Source organism: Homo sapiens, chromosome 8 (genome assembly GCF_000001405.40).
Source record: "Homo sapiens chromosome 8, GRCh38.p14 Primary Assembly".
NCBI classification, from domain to species: domain Eukaryota; kingdom Metazoa; phylum Chordata; class Mammalia; order Primates; family Hominidae; genus Homo; species Homo sapiens.
This window is the reverse complement of record NC_000008.11, coordinates 63,196,973-63,213,221: the sequence shown is the minus strand read 5'-3', so window position 1 is coordinate 63,213,221 and position 16,249 is coordinate 63,196,973. Positions and strand designations below refer to the sequence as shown.

Below are 16,249 nucleotides of genomic sequence, written 5' to 3'. Positions count from 1 at the left end.
AGCAATAATCAGTGCATCACCCAGAGTTGCCATGATCCTATCCACATAAACTATCAATCCCAAGAGGTAATGCAGACAATGTCAGAAAAACATTCCTTGGTACCAAGAGTGGGGGATTAGGATTATTAGCTGCTGCCACTATTTCCTCCTGCTACAAAAAACAAACAGGCCTTCTCTTTCTCTTTTGTTCTAAACTTAGTATTAAAAGCATGTAAGTCAATAAGCTCCTTGGAATGGATAAAAAATAAGGTAAACTGTTACCCTCCCTCTGATTAACTGCTCTGTTTAATTTAAAGTCAACCAGAAGGAGTGATATAATCTATTTGTACGTGAAAGATATGTCAATCAGGAAATCCATAACAGAGTAGGCAAAAATGTTACGTTTTCTGGCAAGCAATACATATTCATGAAGATAAAATGGAAAGAACACAGATATGAGTGAACAATTTTTATTGAAACCCTCAAAGATTAAAGAGGACCAAATGGTGAGTTTGGGTACCATAACAGAAAATCTCACCTAACTGTACCATCATTCACAGGAATGAACAAACCCAAACACGACAAAATTCAAATTCTCATGTAATTGCTACAAGTGAATGTAAATGAACTAATCATTTTATCATAACCTTCCTTTAATCATACGAAAAAGGGAATTTACATGGCATAACAAAAGATATGCAAAACTTAATGAAAACACAATTCTCTTAAATTTCTTAAACTTATTTTTAAAGGATGCAGAATGCACTTGAAATGATTAAATGACTTAAGCTGATTCATTTTTTTTTATTGCAAACTGTTTTAACATCAGCTTAACCCCCATGCACGGTATTCAAAAAGAACACAGCTTTCGAATTAGAAAGATCACTTAAATTAAAAAGAGAAATTAAGTACTAAAATTAGGAAAACGCTGGATTTCTTTTGAAAGGAATCTTCAAGTACCAATACGTATAGAGAAATACTAATTTTGGTTACAGTTTCCTCCTTACTGTTAAATATACAAACTATAATACCTTTCAAAATAAAATACCCACATAAGATAGCTTTAATAAGAAATATTCAAGCCAGAACTTGGAAAAACATTAAGCAAGAAATTTACTGGGCTGATAATGTCTTAATTTGTGATCATTCAAACATTTGATGATGTGTCTCCTCTTGTAGACCCCAGGCTCTCTCCCTTTTGGTCCCCACAGTTAAGAGACATTCAGTTGGTTGTGCTTGAGACAACCTGTGATAATTTCATTCAGAGGAAAAATATTTTGCAATATAATGACAGACCAAGAAGGAAGAGAAGGTGGGTGCTCTGGAGAAAACTTATATGAGAAAAACACAAAATTATCACTTGAAAATAAAAAGATTTTTTTTTCCAAAGGAATGCTGCACCCATTTCACTTAAGATTAGAAATCCAGGTTAAAGGCACTGGGATGTACTCCTCACCATGAATAGACTCTCAATTACATTTATTCGCATGTCTGAGTCTATTGCAATCAGCCTGCTTGCTGAGTGCTTCCATGACACTCTTACATAAAAACCTAATGTAAATTAAACATGTTTGAAACCGTTTATAATGTAACTAGTTTTATAAAAATATCCAGAGTTGCTAATAAAGCACCAAGAAAAAGAGAACCTCAGGGGGAGGACTCAGATCCTTCCTACAAGGTCACCCTTTTATAATATTCTCTAATAGGACCTCCAGAATGACAACAGTCATCTTTGACATGTCCTACCTAGATAATCTTAGGGATGTAGAACATTGCTGTGGTGACTATACCCAAATGCCACTTTTCATTATAAATAGTTAAGAGACATGTTACAAGATTTCATGGCTTACTCTTAAAAAGGTAAAATAGGTGCAATTTTCCTTTAAGAAAGTCTTTATTTTATAATATACCATTAATATTTTGATGTTCCCTTCAGTAAACACTGATATAACTACACTGGGACTACCGAAGAACTGTGTAGTAGCTATGGTTATCTACAAATACTGTATTTTTTTCACTTGAATACAGTATTTGCACATTTAAAAAAAACATTGTACAAAATAAAATTATATAAATGAAAGCCTCAAAGAAATATCCATCACTAGGTCTTTGAGCTGAAGTGACCAAAGACCACAGTAAATGAAAACATTTCTAAACATGATGTAAACATAAATGAAGTAATGCAAAACATCAAGGTATTCAAATCTACTGTATTGCTATTTTCACCCTTAATGTATCTTTCTACATAGCTTTCTCCTTTTGGAACAGTAATACATGGGGCAGTACATTATTTTCATAACCTTATGCCATCAAATCAATTAATACAGATGCTTGACACATTTAATTATACAAAATCAATTTGCTTCAAGATACAAAATTAATGTTGATATGTAATTAATGAAAAAAATAAGATGTTAAAAAGATAACTATAAGAATATCCAGATATATGCTGTATTCCCACTTATATAGATCTGATCAATAAAACATCAACACATTCACTTAGATACTGATTTAATCCATGGATCAAGGCCATATTTTCAAAGTATTTTAAGGATGCCAGGACACTGCAAAAGCTGGAGAAAAGAGCTGAGGAACAACATATGCTTGCTAAACAAGAACTATGTTTATTTAGCTAGTGAATACCTAGAGTAATAAATTTTTACTTCATGATAGCAATCAGGCTCGCAAACACCCAGAAATAGGAATTAAGGGTTTTAAATGTAGTTATAAAGGTCATAAAAAGTCTGATTAGACTGAGGTACATTTACTCAAAATTTTGAGATTCATTAAGTGGTAGCAAACAAAATAATTCCTCAGACAAATGCACATTTTTCAGTATACATATTAATGGGGGGAGGAGGGAAGAAGAATGTGCATTAACTGGTGAAATCCACCAAGCTGCATATCAATATTCTGTTACACCAAACAGTTTGAAGACAAGGGAAATGTTCTAATATAATTTCAGATTATGTTTCATTTGGCTAAAATAGAGCTTAAGGTTGCTTTGCCATATTAAAAGTTTACTACAATAATTTTTCACATCAACATTTAGACTTGAACTCCAGGACTAAATATGGCATGATTATTTTGCTTTTAATCTGTCAAATAGCTAAAAATCGACAATTTAAAAACTACAACAAAGAAAAAGTTGAAGCAGTGTGACTCTTACATCATTGAACCACTTCTAATGGTTAACTGTTAGTATTTAACAAATTCAAAGAGTTAATGAATCCTTGCATTCATTCAGTCTTCTGTGCCTTAGCTAGGATGCATAATTACAAAAGACAGCAGATACTGGTAAAAGCTTCAGGACAGAAAGTGCTTGACGAAGTTACAGTTCTCAAGTGTGTTTGGTGAAGAGTATAAGGGCAGATGCGCTGATGAAAACCATTACGAGAAGAGTCAACTTTGTGTTAAAGTGTTCAAAGATGTCACCTTAAGCAGAAAAGAGCTTTAATACGTCTTCTTTGACTTATTAGGCATTTCCAGAGTCTACATCGTTAGTGTTGTAAATTTAACAGGACATCTTCATACGGTTATTGTTTGTTTCTATTTCTCTCCTGAAAAAAAAAAAACACACACACACAAAAAGAATTACAATGAAAAACTCTCATTATTTAAAGATTTAAACTATATGCACATATAATGTAAATCATCTCCATATAAAGTTCAAGTACTAATTCAAGTAATTAAAAACAATTGATAATTACCTCTATATACCATAGTGAGATTATTACCACAAAACATTTTACATAAAGAACTCTCAAACACAAAGACCTATTTCAGGAGAGTATAGATCCTCTCCACATCCCTATTGTTTGTTTATGATGAGAATATAATAACATCTTTTCAGTCCTTTCAAAGAGTTTTTCATCTTGAGGTGTCAAACAGACTAAAAGCTATTGGCTGAGGTAGGGGCAGGAGAAAAAGGTTAAAAGTTACATTAAATTGCAGTACAATTGCATTCAATGAAGATTTCAGACTAATAAAAAAAACTTTAAATCACAAAGAGAGTATCTTACACTCTCTCTTTCAGCACACGATAGATAACTTTTCACATTAAAAAGTAACATGAGGCCGGGCGCAGTGGCTCATGCCTGTAATCCCAGCACTCTGGGAGGCCGAGACAGGTGGATCAACTGAGGTCAGGAGTTCAAGATCAGCCTGACCAACATGATGAAACCCCGTCTCTACTAAAAATACAAAAATTAGCTGGGCGTGGTGGCGGGTGCCTGTAATCCCAGCTACTGGGGAGGCTGAAGCAGGAAAATCGCTTGAACCCAGGAGGTGGAGGTTGCCATGAGCCAAGATGGCACCATTGCACTCCAGGCTGGGCAACAAGAGCAAAACTCCATCTCAACAACAACAACAACAACAACAACAAAAAAGATGAGTGTTAGACAAATTCAGTCGAATGCTGGCTTATAACATAATTGGGAGAAAAATTATAATTCCTATCTTAAAAAGCAAAAACTACTTGAACAAAAGTTAAACTGAGTTAAACAATGTTTATTAGAAATCAAGTATTTATCTGTAACACTTCTGATGAAAAAAATGACTAGCATTGTACATGCCTATCAACTGAACACATCAAGTAGTTTGTACAACCTTGTTTTAATGTGTAACTTAGTGGTTCTAAAACAAGTATCAGAGTCACCTACCTGGATGGCATGTCTGGGCCCCAGAGGTCTGACGTGGAACCTAAGAATCTGAATTTCTAACAAGTTCACAGGTGGTTCTGGACTGCTGGTCCAGACACTGCACTTTGAAAACCACTGGTGTTTAACACATTAAAAGACTCTCACTTTGCTTTTGCTACTCTCATTTTATTTTTGCATGAGTAAAACATGTTCTGTAACAAATATAAATCGTATTTTGCAAGTGGTCAATTTAGTTTTCCATCCTCTGTGACACCACCTAAAAACTGCATTGTAAATTTCAAAGAGAACCTCAGTTCTCTTTGTTACTAAAAGTCCTTTCTTTTTTATTTTAATACATTCCTGGAACTTGAAGAGCATTATTTCATACATAAAGCTAACAAAAGAAATGTCCTACTACATAACTATAAATGAAACTATTTCATAGACTAACGAGTATCGGTGAGATACATTGAAATGGAAGACTAAAATAACAAAAACAGAGCTAGCTAGATTAAGTACATTTCAAGAGAGTAAACAAAAACAAAAATCCCACCATATCAGCAAAAGAAGAAAAGATAAAACAAGGATTTGTACCATGAAGCTGTAGTTTAATTTTACAAAGGTCCTGCAACTTTTCACAAACCAGTTGAAACATAAAGAAAGTTTAATTCACTGCTAAAGGAAATAAATAGCTTTGGATGAGAAATTTGGAAGCACACTCTAATAAGCTAGATACAAAATACATAGAGAAATTAAGTAAAAAGATGTAAGGGCAATCTGCTCATTCTCCCCATAAAATAAGTGATCAAAACTTAGAGAAATTTCTCAACTCCATGAAGAGCCCTAGAAACTACAGGAAAAAAATGCAACTCTTCTTAAGGGTAAGTCAGACAAAGAGTAGTTTAATGCCAGTGAGATGATCGGTTGTAACAATGAGGACCACATGTTATGCTGTTTCAGTTTGAATTGTAATCAACTATGTACTTTAAATGAATCACTAAAATATATAGATTACATAGATAATACGTCTATATATATAATGCATAACTTCCAACTCAATGGACAAGGGGAGAATAAAGAAAATACCCCAAAAGGACAGAAAAAGAATGAGTTTGAAAAAAATCTAGATTAGAAAGCACAAAATAAGAGGGTAGAAATAAACATTTGTATCATTTACACGTTTAAACTAGGAGTCACAATAAATGTAGGCCCATCAATGAAACCACCAGATACCGGCAAAGGAAACTTTAAAATCCCATTATACATAATTTATAAGAAATAAACCTAAAACTTAAGGAAAAGGAAGTTAAGACTAATAGAGACATACAATAACACAAAGCAAATGAAGACTCATACAACTATACTAATATCAGACAGTGGACTTAAAGTCAAAACCACTGTTGGAGACACAATGGTCACAACATGCTACATAACAGTTTTTGAAAAGCTGTAACAATACTAAACTAAAACTACAATTTTAAATATATTAGTAAGTTGTCAAGTACAAGGAGAAGCTGACATTTTTAAGAGAGCAGGAGAACTTAACACATTTACACATTAGCAAAAATACAGATTGAGTATACAGAATACAGAAAACTGAGACAAATAATTACAAGGTACATATTTTACCAAGGTATACAATGAGCAACTATCAAGTGAATCTTAGTAAATGTCAAAGAATTAGTACACAGATCACATTTCCTGACATCAATTTTGGAAACAAAACAGATAACAAGGAAAAAAACCCATGTTTGGAATTTCTAAAACACGGTTCTAACAGTCTCCAAAACATCATAATGGAAATTAGAAAAGAGAAACAAACTTAAAAGCTGAAGTTTTAGAGGGAAAAAAAAACAATAGAAAAGTCTCTGAAATTACTGATTTTTAAAAAATGAAGTCTAGATATCACGAACACTTATTAGTATTATTAGTAAATGAAAATGTTAATCATGCTAATATGCCAATAAATCTGAATGTTAAAGACAAAAAATTTAAATCATAATTAAAGACAACTTTAATTAGTAACTTTAGTAGAGTTACTAAGAAGTGCCTGGATTCAGTATATATTTGAAAGCAAAGCCAACAAGACTTACTGCTGATGGATTAGATAAGGGGTTAGAAAGAAGTATCAAGGATGAGCCCAGAACTTTTGGCCTAAGCAACTGAAAGGAGAGTGGTATCATACCCTCTCCCCTACTAAGATGAATGAAGTTTGGAGCAGGCAAAAGAACAGGAGTTACAGCCAGGCACGGTGGCTCACACCTGTAATCCCAGCACTTTGGGAGGCTGAGGCAGGCGGATCACCTGAGGTCGGGGGTTCAAGACCAGCCTGACAAACCCCGTCTCTACTGAAAACACAAAATTAGCTGGCTATGGTGGCACATGTCTGTAATCCTAGCTACTCAGGAGGATGAGGCAGGAGAATCACTTGAACCCGGGAGGCAGAGGTTGCAGTGAGCCAAGATCGCGCCATTGCACTCCAGCCTGGACAACAAGAGCGAAACTCCGTCTCAAAAAACAAAACAAAACAGGTACACTAAATTTAGGCTGCTTATGAGACAACTAAATAAAGATGTCAAATAGGCAACTGGATACATGAGTTAGCAGATAGGAGAAAAGGGTCCAGATGGAATACAAATTTGAAAGTCCACAGTGCATGGTAAAAAGTCCATCAACAGAACACAAATCCTCCAAAAGTTAATGATCCATTTTTTAAGAACCTCTGCTTTAAGACCAAAAAAACCCCACATTTATATCAGCAAGGTGGACTGTGCCTGACAGTGTTACTATTAAAATATTTTAACACAATATCTATGGGCATACTATCAGCTACAGACCACTAGAAGTGTGAGACTAAGAAATGATGAGCTACCGGGTGCAGTGGCTCACGCCTGTAATACCAGCACTTAGAGAGGCCAAGGCAGGTGGATCACCTGAGGTCAGGAATTCAAGAACCACCTGGCCAACATGGGGAAACCCTGTCTTTATTAAAAATACAAAAATCAGCCAGGCATGGTGGCATACACCTGTAATCCCAGCCACTCAGGAGGATGAAGCAGGAGAATTGCTTGAACCCACAAGGTGAAGGTTGCAGTGAGCCAAGATTGCACCACTGCACTCCAGCCAGGGCAACAGAGCCAGACCCCATCTCAAAAAAAAAAAAAAAGAAAGAAAAAGAAAGAAATGATGAGCTATCAGTGATATCATTAACTTTTGATGTTATTATAAAATGAGGTACTGTATAGTTAACATCATAATTACATGTACTGGTATGTTGTTGGAAAGTAACTTGAGGATAAAGGAAACCTGAATTACACAAAAATAGCCATGATCCCATACACCCGGAGAAGGACTAAGTCCCTAGTTATAGTTTAGAAAAAGACGCTTTAGACAGATTCTGAAATTTGAGGGCTGAATCTCTTGAGGAAAAACTGAGTAGTACAGGGCTTCTTCCCCACCGTGAACTAAGCAAATACAATGGACACCAGCAAGGATCCTAGAGCAAAGACTGGAATTTGTCATATGGAAATGAGCCCAGAAGGAAGTTTACTGCCAACTCCTGTCTTTTTCACAGAGGTTAACAAATGAGCTAAGACCCCTAGTCTTCAAACTATGAAACAGGCTGAAAACCAAGACTTTCTTCAATGTCCTAAGAGGAGCCTACCGCATGCCCTTAACAAGACAAGACAGATAAATGACTTATTTTCCTTGTAATCTTCGGTAGATTTATCACCATTAGCAATATTTCGGTAACCAGATCTGAGCCTAAATGAGCCACAAAGGAAAAAGTCACTGTGTATCTAAAAGGCCATAGCATTCAAAAGGAAAAGAAGAATAAACACTGAGAACATAAATAACAATAAAACAGAACTGCCGAAGAAGGCAGTGAACATCTGAAAAAAGAAGCAATCAGACACTTGCTATGAAATGCAACAAACAAGCCAGGTGCGCGGTGGCTCATGCCTGTAAGCCCAACACTTTGGGAGGCCAAGGTGGGAGGATCACCTGAGGTGAGGAGTTCGAGACCATCCTGACCAACATGGAGAAACCCCGTCTCTACTAAATAATACAAAATTAGCTCGGTGTGGCGGCGCATGCCTGTAATCCCAGTTACTGGGAAGGCCGAGGCAGGAAAATCGCTTGAACCCATGAGGTGGAGGGTGCGGTGACCCGAGATCACGCCATTGTACTCCAGCCTGGGCAACAAGAGCAAAACTCCGTCTCAAAAAAAAAAAAAAAAACAACAAACACACAAAAAAATTTGTAGCTAAGAATCTTGATTTTCAAATTGAAAAAATCAGTAGATTAATTAAGGGAGAAATGGTCGCTGCCTCATTTGTGGAGTAGAATATTAAATCCAAGAAATATCTCACATCACAGAGCAAGAATAAAGAAATGGAAAGCACAAAGAAAAAAAAATGAGAGGATAGATCCAAGACAAAAATGAATATTCCAGTAGAAGAAAAAAGAACAAACAGAAGGGTGACAAACAACAAAAAATGTCACAAAGTCTTTGATATTCCTCTTTGCGGTAGGTGGGGCTTGATTTCCTCAAGTGTGGGCTGCACAGTGCATGACTTGCCTCTAGGAACAGAGTACACAAAGGGAATAACAGAACATTTTATGGTGGAGAAACCTAGCAGACACCACTTTAAGCAATCGAAGTTAAGATCACTAGTAATAAGATATAAGATGAGATGAAGAGGATACATCACTTCTGTGGTATACTTCTCAAAAATCCATAACCCCCAGTCTAATCATGAGAAAGTATCAGCCAAACCGAAATTGAGGGATATCTTACAAAATACCTGACAAGTACTCTTTAAAAATGTAATGGGAAACAAAGCAAGACGGAAAAACTGTAACAGCTTAGAGAGTAAGGAGACATGACAACTAAATGCAACGTTAGTGTCCAGACTAGATCTTGAAAAAGACATTAGTGAGAAAACTGGGAAAATGTGGAAAACCTCTGTAATTTAGTTAATAATATTGTACCAATGTTCATTTCTTAGTTTAAATAAATGTACTATGATTATGTGTTAATATTAGGGAAAATGAATAAAGAATATACAGAAATTCCCTGTAATCTCTGAAACATTTCTGTAAATATAAAATTATTTCAAAATAAAGTTTTTTAAAAATCACTAAATTTAGTAAACTATAACTTGCATACAACTACCAAATAACAAATACCATATGGCAGAAATATATGTGTGTGTGTATATATATTCTATAAGGTATTACTATTTTAATGGTTGTCCTGCTTATCCTTATTGTTTATGAGGATAAAAGTGTTACTGAAATTTCACCCAAAAGTTTAAAGCCAGGGAATATATCAGACTGCATTTTTTTTTTTTTTTGAGACAGAGTTCACTCTTGTCACCCAGGCTGGAGTGCGGTGGCACAATCTCGGCTCACTGCAACCTCTGCCTCCCAGGTTCAAGCGATTCTCGTGCCTCAAGCCTCTCGAGTAGCTGGGATCACAGGCGTCTGCCACCATGCTCAGCTAATTTTTGTATTTTTAGCAGAGATGGGTTTTCACCATGATGGCCACGCTGGTCCCAAACTCCTGACCTCAGGTGATCCGCGTGCCTTGGCCTCCCTTAGTGATAGGATTACAGGCACGAGCCACCGTGCCCAGCAGACTGTATTTTAAAATTAAGAAAAGAATAAAAAACACCGTGTGCGTGTTTCAAGAAAAGACGATGTTCATAAACGAAGAATGAAATTAAAACATCTAATAGATTCAATTCTTTAGGAAAATTAATGACTTACCAGGAATGAAATCTGCATAGGTGGCTGATAGGTCTAAAAAAATTCATGCTAAAGAGTAGAACAAAGGCCAGGTGCGGTGGCTCATGCCTGTAATCCCAGCACTTTGGGAGGCTCAGGCGGGTGGCTCACCTGAGGTCAGAGGTTTGAGACCAGCCTGACAAACATGTCAAAACCCCGTCTCTACTAAAAATACAAAAAATTAGCTGGGTGTGGTGGCGGGCACCTGTAATCCCAGCTACTTGGGAGGCTGGGACAGGAGAATCGCTTAAACCCAGGAGGCGGAGGTTGCAGTGAGCCAAGATCGTGCCATTGCACTCCAGTCTGGGCAACAAGAGCAAGACTCCATCTCAAAAAAAAAAAAAAAAGAGTAGAACAAGGGCAGTAACAGATGGATAAAACCCCAGCTGCTCAAAAGCCTGCACATATGTCCACCTTTAAAGTGCTAATAATACTTAGATAAGCTTCTAGCATGCACTGTCCCAAGAAAAGGACGGATCCTTTGGCATTAAAAAAGCAAAAGACAAAACTGTAAAGGAAACAAACCAATTCTGCACTGTAAAACTAATTTCAAAACTATATAGTTATCAGGGGAAAGGACAATCATTATGTTTTGGGGATGGAGAGGTTCTGTTTGGAAATCCACTCTTCAGATTTCTTAAACTTACATTTACATTTTAATGAGGCTCTAGCATTGCAAAATTATCCAGAAAGGAAATAAACATTTGGCTTCCTAAGTAGACTGAGTTCTAAAAAGGGTCATTTATCTTTGGTGGCTTACGGTACCCTTTATTATTTATCTGTTGAATGAGGGAACACAGTTAAGAAAAGAACATGCAGGATCTAAATATATGGTGGCATAGGTTGATTAGAATACAAGATGTGTGCTGGGAGAAATCTCAGGAAAAAAGACCTGGTAACAGAGGCTCTTAAAGTCAAGCAAAGGAATGCATATGCAATTCTATTTGGGATGCCAAACTTTGGGCTCTTTTTGAGAAAATAAAAATAATTATTATATTCTAGACTGTCTTTCACATGCAGAATTATTCACTAATAGCTTTTATAGCCTAGTTCTCTAATTGTAGATTTTCACTATGCTTTTTTAATTCCCTCAAGTTATTTCTAATTCAGCACAAAGTATATCAAGCGCGTCAAATGCAGCCAATACCAGAGTTGAATCACCTTTCAATAAATTCAGAACTTTCTGCCACCAACAGTGAAGTCAATTTCACTCAGAAATTGGAGTGCAATGTAAAGTTTGGTGAGGATTCTCTACAATGAAAATGATTAACTCAACATCTGGTAAATTATATTTATTAACTAGAGACCAACAGTAAGTACAATTTTATGCATGTTAACTGTTAACGAAATGAAGAAATAGTAGTAAAATAAAGGTTTTACTGGCATTCACATAATTTCCTATGTAATTGAAAACACAATGTAAATTTTTATTTATTTATTTTTTATTCTAAATATAGAGACAGGGTCTATGTTGGCCAGCGTGGTCTCGAACTCCTGGCCTCAAGCAATCCTCCCGCCTCACCTTCCCAAATTCCTGGGATCACAGGCATGAGCCACACCTAGCTGTAAATCTCTATATAAACACATGCAATGGCTTAGATATTTCTCTTACTTTTTGCAATCCTTGTTTGATTGAAGGCTTAGATATTTCTAAAGTGACACTTCAACATATCTAATTTGTATGTAACTTCCTTGCTTAAAAACTTTAAAAATGATTCCTCAATACTATCAGACTTTAGCTCCTTGAAGACAGAAATTTTCTTAATGAGCTCTATCCCTTAAGTGTCTAGCATGTTCAAAAATGCCTGCTGAATAACAATTCCTTCGACTTGTGATTCATCTTTCCAACTTTATCTCTTTTTCTGTACTGCCTCCCCTCCCTAAGTTTTGGCTATTTTCGATTACTTCAACATATCACAATACCCTAGGCTCTGAATGCCTGTCTTGACTTTATTATGAAATCCTACATATTATCATTCAAGGCCCATCTTAAAAATTCACCTTGACACCCTGAAACTCCCAATCAAAATTGTATTTGCTAGAAATAAAGATAACATGTTTTAAATTGAATAAGGCTTTAATCTAATTTTTCAGTTTACAAATAAAAATTTGAAAACCTGATAATCATAACAAACACTGCCAGACCACCATAAATTCAAATCAGGTACCATGATTTGATATAACCATATGGTCCACCCATAAAAAGGTTCAAAAGAGTTGTGGCAGGGAGTACCACAATGGTCTCTGCATTCAGGTATTCACACCCTTATAAATCCCCTCCCCTGAGTATGGCCTGGACCCAATGAGTGAATTGCTTCTAATCAACAGAATTCAGCAGATGTTCAATCCCCAGTATCTCAAATTAAAGAATAAGGAAAAAAAAAAGAAAAAAAAGAAAAAGAAATTTAAAAATTTAAAAAAAAATTCAGCCGAGGCGACAGAGTGTCACTTCTGTAATTAAGTTACAAAAGACTGTGACTTCTGTCCTGGTAGCTACTGCCTCCTCAGCTTACTCTATTGCCCTCTCAGCTTGCTCACTTTGATGAAGCAAGCCTCCTGTGGGAAAGTCCCATGTGGCAAGGAACACAGTATAGGCAGCCTCTGGCATACAGCCAAAAGGAACTGAGGCTCTTAGTCCAACAACGCTTGAGAAACTGAATTCTGCCAACAACCGTGAGTTTGGATGCAGATTTTTCACCAGCAGAGTATTCACAATGAGACCTCAAGCCCTGCCTTGACTGTAGCCTTGTGAGAGGCCCTAAAGCTGAGGACCCAGACAAGCTGTGCCCAGATTTCTGACATGCAAAAACTGTAAACTGTATGTTTTAAGCCAATGAGTTTTGGAGAAATCTATTAGACAGTCGTAAATAACTGAGACAGCAATTCACAACAGACCAAACACTATCCCTACTCATTTAATACAACAAAGGCCAAAGTACAGAGAATGGAGCTGTGATATCTTTCCCTAACTTCAACAGTATTCATGTATGAGTAGGGTAAAATACCCAGCAGATTTTTATAAATTAAAAAAAAAATGTTTAAGCCATTCCAAGAAACAGGTAAAGTCAGTTAAGCACCTCAAATGACCCTTATGGAAGAATAACTCTTATCTTCGGTAACTACAGCTCTTCATTCATGAAAAAATATTCTTTCCTTGGACACACATACCTTAAATTAAGAAACTGAATGTCACATTTAAAATAAACTATTAAACAGGAATAATTCAATAATTTATTTCTGGAAACATAAGATATTTCATATCCACCTAAGGTTAATTATATTGCTACTCAAGTTATCATGTATTTGCTGAAGAAAAAGATAAATTAAACACAGCTGACCCTTCAACAACACTGGTGTGAACTGCAGGAGTCCACTTACAACGAATTATTTCAACGAAAGAGATAAAAAAATGCAGTATTCAAGGGATGTAAAACATGCCTATATGGAGGGAGAAGCGACTGCAGAACTTGAGTATGTGCAGATTTTGGTATTTGCGGGGGTCCTGGAATAATCCCCTGTATATACCAAGAAATGACTATAAATGAAATTCTGTCCAATTTAATCACCTCACAATTATAGTATGGAAGAAGTATCTCCCAAAGATCTATGATTAACTTGATAAAGTTATCAGCATTGGAACATAACCACTATTAATAATCTGAGAAAAAATAAAAACAAATCAATATGTTAATTGAAGCACCCCCTTTCCAATTCTAACTCATAAAAAATATTTACCAAGTTCAGAATAGAGTAATACTGCAGTAAAAACTCAATCATCTTGACTATTCAAAATACCAATGTTTTTATCAAGGAATTATTTAATCAAATATGTTACATTATTTAATTAAATATGTTACATAAAAGTTTATTGTATCAAATGTGTTACATACTGGGCCCAACTTTACATTCTAGAAAAACATTCTTCAAATTTTACAAAAGTAGATTTTATATATTAAATTTGTTTCTGTTAATTATAATAAACTTTTTCATCAACAGAGAACTATAACCACAGAAAAATTTACCAAAGGGTAATAGAATACACTTCAATCCACGTTACTAAAAACTGCCAGGGAAATGTTTGCTGTTGTCATAAGTATAACTATTTTTGAAGTAATTTCTTCTATGTTAACACAAAGTTGAGTACTCTGAGATAGACCTAACATCATCTCATCTTAAAGTTATTCCAAATATGAAAAAAAATGTATCAGGCACTAAAACTTAAATCTTCAGAAATGCCCAACTTGGCCAGGCACGGTGGCTCAAGTCTGTAATCCCAGCACTTTGGAAGGCAGAGGTGGGCAGATGACCTGAGGTCAGGAGTTTGAGACCAGCCTGGCCAACATGGTGAAACCCCATCTCTACTAAAAATACAAAAATTAGCCAGCCATGGTGGCGCACACCTGTAGTCCTGGCTACTCGGGAGGCTGAGGCATGAGAATCGTTTGAATCCCGAAGGTGGAGACTGCAGTGAGCCCAGATTGTGCCACTGCACTCCAGCCTGGGCAACAGAGCAAGGCTCTGGAAAGAAAAGAAAGAGAAGGGAAGGTGGGGGAGTGGGGAGGGAAAAGGAAAGGAAAGGAAAAGAAAAGAAAGAAGAGAAAACAAAGAAATGGCCAACTATGTAACAGCATAAAGAACTAAAATACACACAAAATTCTAGAGATTTTATTATAATTATGCCTTGCTTATTTCTGCATAAACGGCAGGGCTCCATCTCTTTCTGGAGGAACAGGTAATGCCATGATTTGAAAGTTTATCTCAATGTTATAGGCAATTGAAAACTCTTAATTATTCCTATGTGGAATTAAAAAAGCAACTGAACCAAAAATAGTCTTGGATTATGTTTCCTGACTAATGAAGATTTACAAGAATGAAGGAATACAGGGGGATTTAAATGACTCACATTCACTACAACAATGGAAAAATTTCAAAAGAAAGAATCACCTCAATAGTCAAAAGTAGATTCTACTGCTATGCAGACTATTTGAATTTATACTGGACAAATATACTCAGGATTTTTATTAGTTCTTTTTCTTTTCCCTTCTATTATTCAGTTCCTCTGAGGGGTTGCCATTATAAATTTAAATAGCATACTAATACAAAAATTGCTTATCAATTCAGATGCTATCGATTCCCATTGTACATGAGTAATTTACCATATCACATTGAATATGGTATATCCCACTTCTCTTCTCCTCTCCCGTACTACAAGCCACGCTATTTTTAATTATTCCAGTGGCTGTGCTTATGATTTGAAACAATATGCTTAAGGTACCGTTCCTGATATATCTTTAAACAATTATGTTACTGTCAAAAAGATTAGACAATAAGTGATTTAATCTTCCTTAAACTCTTCCCATTCCATCTCATAACATTTTGTTCTAAATATAATTAAATCTTTTATATCCTACTGTCCATTTCTACAAATGAAAAAAACCAATAGACAGCATTTTATATAACTTCAATGATCAAGTAACAGCGATTACACCTATAAAGAAGAAAAAATTCTACACATTCATACTTTGCAAATGGGAAGAGATTCTTCAAAGCATTTCCACTTTTAACAAATGTCTACTTAAAACCTACTGTGTGCTAAGCATTTTTCTAGGTGCTAGGGATTCAGCAGAGAGCAAAGCCTGCTCTTTCAGCGGTTATCTTCCAATATGACAAAGGCTATCTAGAAATTTTATTTTTTTTTAGCTTCCTTCAATTCTCCAAGGTCAGTGGTTCCCAACCAAGGGCCCACACTGTCAGGCGTGAAGGACCATAATGCGAATTAAGTAGGCAGGATGAGATGGCCAAAAGTTCTGATCCTCTATAAACAATGCCAACCTGTG

At 35.8% G+C, this 16,249-nt stretch overlaps 1 protein-coding gene across 10 annotated transcripts in view, besides 1 other annotated feature; it reads right to left on the bottom strand.

Annotated features, from left to right (window-relative positions):
• The window catches only part of YTHDF3 (YTH N6-methyladenosine RNA binding protein F3), a 44,236-nt gene continuing 28,420 nt past the window's right edge, over positions 434–16,249 (bottom strand). For 9 of the 10 annotated variants that reach the window (NM_001277813.2, NM_001277815.2, NM_152758.6 and 6 more), the window contains one exon: positions 436–3,539. In NM_001277813.2, coding sequence (NP_001264742.1) covers positions 3,516–3,539 — 24 coding nt within the window. In that variant the 3' untranslated portion in view covers positions 436–3,515. Of the gene's footprint in view, positions 3,540–16,249 lie in introns of all 10 variants that reach the window. The other variant, NR_102434.1, reaches the window with a different exon arrangement.
• Positions 13,285–13,334: an enhancer, noted in NCBI's record as "active region_27452". NCBI's record gives its function as "activates an Ori minimal core promoter by ATAC-STARR-seq in GM12878 lymphoblastoid cells {active_cell/tissue: GM12878}" and the evidence as "EXISTENCE:reporter gene assay evidence [ECO:0000049][PMID:35858748]".